The sequence below is a fragment of the Homo sapiens genome, chromosome 21, assembly GCF_000001405.40.
Source record: "Homo sapiens chromosome 21, GRCh38.p14 Primary Assembly".
NCBI classification, from domain to species: Eukaryota; Metazoa; Chordata; class Mammalia; order Primates; family Hominidae; genus Homo; species Homo sapiens.
The window spans coordinates 15,324,253-15,333,043 of NC_000021.9; the positions used below are offsets into that span (position 1 = coordinate 15,324,253).

Sequence of the window (8,791 nt, forward strand, 5' to 3'; positions counted from 1 at the left end):
AAAGTATTCCTGGGTGACCTTTATGATCTTGCTGTTCAGTTTTAGGTTTCAGTGATTGAAGTCCTTGAAAATATGTACCTAAGTCTATGCAATTTTCAACACATCTTCTGTAGAGTCAAAATATGGCCTATAATATGACTTTTGTTATCCACTGCATAAATCTGAAATTGAAGGTAGGAGGTTTCAACTTTCAAAAATTTTTCATCTACCCTGGCTTCTGTAACTTTCATCATTGGAAATGTGTGGTATAAACTGTCAATTCCGCAGTCACTACTAAACTGGCATGGTTTGTAATAATACTATTTAAGGTGCTCATCAAGGGAGTAAATGTAGCCTGTTTTGAATTAGGAAATGTTAGAAAAGAAGGTGTTAACATTTTCAGAGATCAGCCTTCAACTTTGAAAATACTCTTGGCAAAATACTGACTGAGTTCATTGGTCCATTAAGCTGTATCTTTCTGTCTGAATCAGCTTTCCATTTGAATATTGACAAAAAGGATGACCTTGTGTTCTGACCTTTTAACCCCACGAAGCTAATCCTGCTTTTATTCCAAAAGGGAGGATGGGACAGTGGATGTCCTAATGCTCCCATTGTATTCCAAATTTATAAACAGGTCCTTTGCCGTTTTAATAAAAATTATTAACACAATAACAACTTAGAATTCCACATGTCCTAATTTGCAGTTCCACCATATTTAGCATGAAATGTTGTGCTGCACAATATGTTATTAAAATCAATTGTCATAGAAGTAAAAGATGCACATGAACATCATTGCCCATCAAATCAATAAGCAATAAAATGAAACGGGTATATAGGGCATTGCCCTTTACTGAATCAAACAAGCTGGATTTTCCCCCAACAGCCCTGTGAGACTATTGAACTCAGTCATAAACTAATCAGGGATTTTACCAGTGGTTTCAGAATAAAAAGGAAAAATACTCTCCTTCATCCCTGACAACCTAACCTTTGGTGCTGATCAGTTGAAATAAGACATAATGCTCAAGAAAAGATGTATCTGGAGGGTCATCTCATGTGGAGGCTGAAGGTCATTTCCAACAAAGCAATCAAATATCTAATAAAACCTCAAGATCACATCTTTGGCATATAGGCAAGCAGAATAAACTAGATAAGAGTGAAAAAACTTAGAATCCTGTATCTGTGGTAAGAGATGGTTCTCTAAGCATCAATGTGGAGATTGGCAAATATTCATTAAACCTGACATTGCTTAATATAACTAATAAAAAATTAATACATTGAGATCACATCAATTTATGAAATGAGGAAAAACAGTTGTTTTTTTAACTCATCATTGAAAAAGTACACTTTTATAAAAATACTATGAACTTCTTTTAATATTTTGATTAATTTGAATTTCTGATTGGCCCCACAAAGATTAACTCTACTGTAATTTTAGAATAAACCAGTCTCTTTTTATTGGACAAGTCATCACCATTTATCGGAGAACATGAAAATAGGTAAAATGAATTTTAATTTATTCAAGTCAGCATGAAAAATAAAATTAAAAATAAAAATAAATTTGCTTTCAAAAACGTCTTACATTGTTTTTAGGTTTGGGTATTGGTAAGTGCAAATCTATTGTTCACATGTGTTGGCAATTTAAAGATCTGATTTAAAATAGTTTAGAAAAAATCAAAGAAAAACCCTGAATAAAAGATGGTTTAAAATATTTGTTTTATATATATACTCATATAAATAAACTCATTTTTTTCTTCATCAGTCACTGAATTTGTGAATCATATTACATAGACTGGCCTTAAAGTTGCAGACAAACATACTGATGGCAGCAGCAGGCTGTCTGGAGCAGCCGCTACCACCATGCCTGCTGCAGTGAAGAGGTGCAAGCATAGGGGGTGGGATCGGCTGTGGGGGGACCACTGTGCCCTGCGTCCCCTGTGCCCTGCATCCCCAAGGCAGCCAACTGGGCTGCCCCCACCTTCGTGTGGCCAGGCGGGACCCACCTCCAGGCCCAGAGCCTCAGTTCCTCCAGACCCTGGCCCAGCATTGCCAATCTCACCTGCTGCCACTGCAGGGAGGGTGTCGGAAGAGGTGGACAGTTCCTGGAACCCACTGCCCTGGGGGCCATCACAATGGGGCTGGGTCGAGTTGCCCACCAGCTGTGAAGCAGCAGGTTGGACAGAGAGGGGCCCTGAGGTGAAGCTGGGCACAGGACAGTGCCCTGCTTGCACAAAGAGTGTGGGTTCTCTGGGCTGTATATGCCCTGCTTGGGGGACCTGGCCAGTGGTGCAGTCACTGTGCCCATTCCAAGGGTTCTGGGTTTCTCCATCTCAGGAGCAGGCTCTGTGCAGGGCCACCTGGGGCCATGTCCCCAGGGTCCACCTGGCATTGGGGTGATCTTCAGGCCTGATACTCCTGATGTCCAGGCCTGAGGCCTGCAATCCACTCTTGGAGGTGCCCCATGGCAGGGCTGCGAGCCAGGCAGGACCAGAGCCTCACTGCAGTCTGAACTCCTGGGGGCCTGGGAAGGTCCCCTGCTACCCCCACAGGCTTGGGTGTTTCTGCTCCCTCTGCCTGGCTCTCCCCATTCCTGGCACCTGCACCAAACTTGGATTAAAGTTGGGGCCAAGGCCGGGTGTTGTCACAGCCTGGCCAGGTGTGCACACACTCAGGGCAGCACTGACATGCCAGGTCCCTGCCATCTTAGACTCCCTCCATATTTTGAGCACTGATGAGTGCAGGGGAGGCAGGGCAAGCCAATGGGGAACTAAGGGCAGCTCAGCACTGGCCTTCAGGCACCCCAGGGTGTGAGCAGTGTGGGTGCCATGGATGGGGGCAGGAGCTAGACAGGCTCCTGGGCAGAAGAGGGTAGGTCCCTAGTGAAGCCCCACCTTCAGGCCAGGTAGGGCTTGAAGTCTGGGGCCTGGGCTGTTAGCCCTGTGGAACAAAGTGGGAACTCACGGTGCCTTTACTAGGCCTGCGTCTGGCCTCCCATGGACCAGTTGGCATGCACTTCCTCCCCTCTGAGGCCCATAAAAGCCCCAGGCTCAGCCAGAGCTGAGTGGAGGGTGGAGAGAGGACAGGACAACAAGCTGCAGAGAGGAGCTACCCTCTCTGCTGAGAGCTGCAGAGATGACTGGACGACTTGCCTGCAGAGGTGAGCCACCCACTCTAGGGCCTCCTCTCTGCAAAGAACTGCAGATGATGGGATGATCAGCTGCAGAGAGGAGCTATCCTCTCTGCTGAGAACTGAGCACTTGTTTGGGTGATCTGCCTGCAGAGAGGAGCTACCCTGTCTGCTATGAGCTGAACACTTGTTGGGGACACCCTGGCTATAAAAAGGAGCTGCCCATTGCAGGTCTCCTCTGAGCTGTTCTGTTGCTCAGTAAAGCTCCTCTTTGTCTTGCTCACCCTCCACTTGTCTGTGTACCTCATTCTTCCTGGTTACAGGACAAGAACTCAGGAACTTCCAAATGGAAGACTAACAGAGCTGTAACACAAACAGAGCTAAACATGCCCCTTGCTCACCATGCTGCAGAAGAAGAGAAGGAGAGAAGAGCTGCAGTCCTTCAGGGAGCCCAGACCTGGGAGATCCCTGAGCCAAGGCTGTGACTCCCTCTTTGGGGCTTTGTAGTTCCGGGTGCCTCCAAGCTTCTGGGTGCCACTGCATTCCCTGGGGCCAGATTGGGAAGCTGCTTGTGGTGCACCTGGTCCAGCCACAGCCTCATAGAGAGCTGGCTTCTATGCTGAGACCTGGATCTGCCAACCCCACAGCAGCAGCATGTCTGCTGCACAGTGGCCAGACCCCATGTTCACACACACACCCAGTGCTGCTCCATGCCTGACTCCAGTCTCCCTTGGAGGTGTGGGATCCAAACTGATAGCATGAACTGAGTGCAGCCTGCTAGGGTGAGTGGATGGAACTAGTCCAGCCAGCCTGAGCAAAACTGGGGCAAAGGTGCCATCGGCCACAGGTTTCTGGCTAGAAAAGAGACACCCCAAAGATTCCATAACAATGTCACTATAAAACAAACAACTCAACCTTACATTAAATTCTTCCTTAACTCCTCCATAACATCCACTTTTCCTCTGTCAAATTAAAGTTCTGGAAACTTTTTTATGGCAAACCATGATTGATGAAGCTCCTGTCTCCCAAATTTTCATGGTGATAATTTATATTTATTAATATATGTTATTTGTAGACTCTCCCTGAGATTTATGTCTTCACCTTCTTCTACATTTCACTGAGACATCTGCTTAAATAAGTCTTTGGAGCCCTTTGTTTATTGTTAGATATTTTTAGAGACCACATTAACGTATTAAGACTAATAAAATTATTTTTACTAAACACTGCCTAAAAGCCCCAAACCATGTAATTCCATCTGAAAGAGAATAAAAATCACTTTTGCATTACACAAGTCACAACTTACTTGATTGCCTATTGCCACTTTAAAGCTGATTAACTTGTTCATTTTTATTCTGGAATTTTCTAGATGGTAGATAAATGGCATGGATTTTTAAGTGTCCTTCACTCTATTTCAGAGTCACTATTTGGTACAATCCTTGAAAGAGAGCATTTTTATATTGGCAATTATCCCCATATATCATTGAACTTAATCTTTGGGAATTGAAACTCAATCATTTTTTCATATGACTATTAATTGTATTTGTTCAAGATACTGTAATTTAAGAAGAGTGAAATTTTGTGAAACATGATAATTTCTACTTAAAATACATTCATTATTCAGCTAATAATGAAAAAACAGGAGTGTTTGCTCTTCTTGCTAACATTTTGAGAATTCTATTCACATATCCCACTAGTAATGTACCTTTGTTATTATAAACTATGATTACTGAAGGACTTGAGTTTGAAGCAGCACACTGACAAAGGGAATGGCAATTGTTTTTGCATGTGCTCTGTGTTTGATTTGGATCCCAATCACTTGAAGCATGGGCTTGTGTTATGAACACAAGCAGATTCAGTATTCAACATCCTAATGCAGTAAAAACAAAATCACATTCATGTAAAGTGGAGATGTTTCAAGAAGTATGTGATCTCTTATGTGGCAGTTTGAAATCTTGGCCATGATATTCAGGGCTCCCTTTAGAACAGAGTAGTAGACAGATCATCTCTCTGTAGAATTCATTATTACGAAATGGAACATTATTTGTTGGGGAGTGATACTAAGTCCTGATCTTGAATAAAAACTGAAGCAATTTCGTTGGCACAATATGGATTTTCCATGAGTCTGTTTTTTAGATAATGCATTCTGCAGGATCAAGATGAGACTGCATTAGGTACTTCATGTAAAGCAAGAAAAATTTGTGTTTTACTATATTTCCAAACATACTAATATTTGGAATAGGAATATAGCTCTTGGGAAAAATAGTTCTGGTTATTTAATATACGAAGTTTGAAAATCAATAGAAAGTAAACCAAGTCATGTGTTGTAAAATGTATTAAAATTATTTTTTCTATATTTTAATCCAAAAGCAATGGTTTTCTTTGTTAAACAAAAATATGGACAACACAGAAAAGGACCAGGTATAAAGTAAAATTTAAACATACTCTGACACAGAAAGAGCACTACTATAAAGTTATGATATTGTTTTATAGTATTTTTTCTTCTGTCTATAGTACACACATATATACATTAATAATTTATGGATTTGGGGGGACACTGTAAATAATGGATATTTTGAATTATTTGGATTCATTTGCCATTTATTCCCTTCCTAATGAGTCTGAATTTCCTATTTCAATATCACCTTATCATTGTGTATTGTCTTGGTGGAATCCTAAATTAAGAAGCCTTTTCCATCCCCAACCAAGGAACTGACAACTGACCCAAGACAGAGCAATTAAGTCTCTCCCAAGATTGTGGATCTTGAGTGAAGTGACAGAAAGATGGGTGGGATGGAGGTGGAGGATACAAAACATGGGGGGCTCATTTGTCTCCACAGATAAGATGGAAAACATGGTTGAGTAGTTTTCTGCTCTATTTCCTGATTTATGTCTTACCCTGCTTCTTGGATTTCTTTGTCTATATTCTCTTGCCTACTTGAGCCAAAGCTGGGTTTTGTGCTTACAACCAAAAAACTCTACCTTATACATTCAGCACACATTTTTTTAAACTTGCTTATTTCACATCTATATGTTTTGACTCTAGCATATACATATATTTTTGCCACAATAAATTGTACTACAGTGCACATCTTTAGATATAAATATTCACATACAACACTGATGATTTCTATAGGTTAAATTTCTAGAAATAGAATTACTAATCATAGTATGCTCATTTTTTAAGTCTTTTTATTTATATTGACCAGTTGTACCAAAAAATTGTTATGCCAATCATGAGAACGTCAACCTCTCTATATTCTTTCCAAAATTTTTACCTTATTGCCAATTTGATAAGAAAAATACTTTATATCTTAAATTTTCATTCTTAATTGTTAGTAAGTTGAAAACATTCTTTTTTCAGTCATAAAGTGTCTTCTATGAATTATTTTCTGTAAATATTTTTACCTATTTTTTTACTGCTCAATGTGTTTCCATTTTATTTATTTGTAAGAGCTCTTTATATGTTAAAGACATTAAATTTTAGATAAAATATATTTCAAATATTTTTATAATTTGTCATTCAACTTAATATGTTAAGTATTTTTGGCATATAAGAACTTAATTTAATAATCAAACTTTTTAATCACTTCCTTTTATGTTTCTTATCATAACTGATGGTCATTGAAAAGCCTCCCTACCAAAACTGCATAGATATTCATATTTATGAAATTGAAACAATGTTTGCTCATTTTAAAATTAATTTTACCTTACTTGACAATTATTTTAAAATATCACATGAGGTGGCAATTTCATGTTATTCTTTATAACTGCTTAATTAGATATCCCAATATGTATCTATTGATTACATGTAAATAATAAGTTTTGAATAATTATTCCTTTCTAATTTATTTAAAATGTCCTCTTTATCATATAGTGCTTTACTATACAAAATATGTCCCAGAGAGCAAGACCATTAGAATCACTTAGGAGTTTATTAGAAGTGTAGAGTGTTAGACTTCATCCAGCTCTACTGAATCTGGATTTAAACTATATATGAATAATTGCAGGTACATTGTTTAAGAGCAGTGGTTTAATTCTCATGTATTCCTAAGTTATTTACAAGCCAATTAATTTTCTTTTAGTGTTCCTCATTATTTTTAATTTGTAAGAAGTGGCTGTTTTTCTTGTTTATTCTTTGTGATATATTCCTAACACACTGAAAACATTTTGTTTCAATTAGAAATAGATCTCAATTTACAGGGTCATTTCAAGGTCTATTGAGATGATTATATCATTTTTATTTGATGCATAGACATGACATAGAGCACTAATACATTTTTATAAATTAAACCAATGGTGCCTTTAAAGGATAAAATCTATTCGGTCATAATTTTTGTTTTATAAAATCTTCTAGAGTTTCTAGTGTTTTCTTTAAGTTTAAAAACCCTTTCTTCACACAAGTAGGACTGGTCTGTAGATCTTTCGTTGCATTATGTGCACATTTGTGTGTGTTTGTGTGCATGTACGTGTGCGTGTCATTGCCAGATTTCATTGTCAGGGTTACACAGGCTTGATAATAGGAATTGTGACATTTTTCATCTTTCACTATGTTTTCTCCAGCATTTTATTGAAAAAAATTTAACCATGTACAAAAGTAGAAGGAATTGTATAGGAATACTCATATACCCACTACCTAGATTCTACAATTAACATTTCTTCTAGTTGTGTTATCAGTTGTTTGTGCATATATCTATCCTTTTATGCATACTGTGTGTATCTTATGCATTTCAAAATAAGTTGCACATATTCAGTACACTTTCCCACTAACCAGGTCAGCACATATTTTACTAAATAAAGTTTAATATTTGTCTACTGCTTTTCCTACTGAGCAACATTTATATACGATGTAATGCATATCTCTCAATTGTTCCATTCAATGAGTTTTGACAAATTCATAAGCCTGTGTAACTCAATCTTTTGTCATAATCACAACTCTCGTACATTGTTCATAAGAGAATAAAATATTACAACTACTCTAAAAAAAAAAACTCTCTGCAGTTGCTCATGAAACTAAACCTTATCACCTAGTAGTTCAACTCTTAGTTACTTCCCAAGATAAATGAAACATCAGGTCCACAAAAAGACTTTACAGGAGAGTTCATGCCAGTTTTATTTATATTAGCTGAAAACCAGAAATGGCCCATATGTCCATCAACAGAATAGACAAACTGTAGAACGAAATGTTACTAGAAATTTTAAAAATATGAACTACTGATATATACAACAAGAATTAATCTCGAAACTTTTTTGCTAAGCATGAGACTTATGAAAGAGTACATGTTGTGTAATTCCACTTATATGAAAACAAGCAAAATAAATCTGTGGTGGAAAAAAATTTAAAATATTAGTTGCCTCTTGTGGGCAGGAAGAGAATGACTAAAAAGAGACACTAGTGACTAGTATTGATATGTGTGGATTTGATCCTGTCATTATGCTGTCTGCTGGTTATGATGTTGGTTTGTTTGTGTGGCAGCTTTATAGTGACACTGGTCTGTGTGTTTAAGTGTGTTTTTGTATTAGCTGGTAGCAACCTTTTTTCTATATTTAGTGCTCCTTTCAAGATCTCTTGTAAAACAGATCTGTTGGTAATAGATTCTCTTAACATTTGCTTATCTGAAAAGGATCTTTCTCCTTCACTTAGGAAGTTTAGTTTGGCTAAAGTGAAATTATTGGTTGAAGATTTTTTTC

At 38.0% G+C, this 8,791-nt stretch overlaps 1 annotated feature.

Annotated features, from left to right (window-relative positions):
- Positions 2,274-3,084: an enhancer, noted in NCBI's record as "H3K27ac-H3K4me1 hESC enhancer chr21:16698845-16699655 (GRCh37/hg19 assembly coordinates)". NCBI's record gives its function as "activates a minimal SCP1, AML or CMV promoter by ChIP-STARR-seq in naive H9 embryonic stem cells {active_cell/tissue: H9 hESC(naive)}" and the evidence as "EXISTENCE:reporter gene assay evidence [ECO:0000049][PMID:30033119]".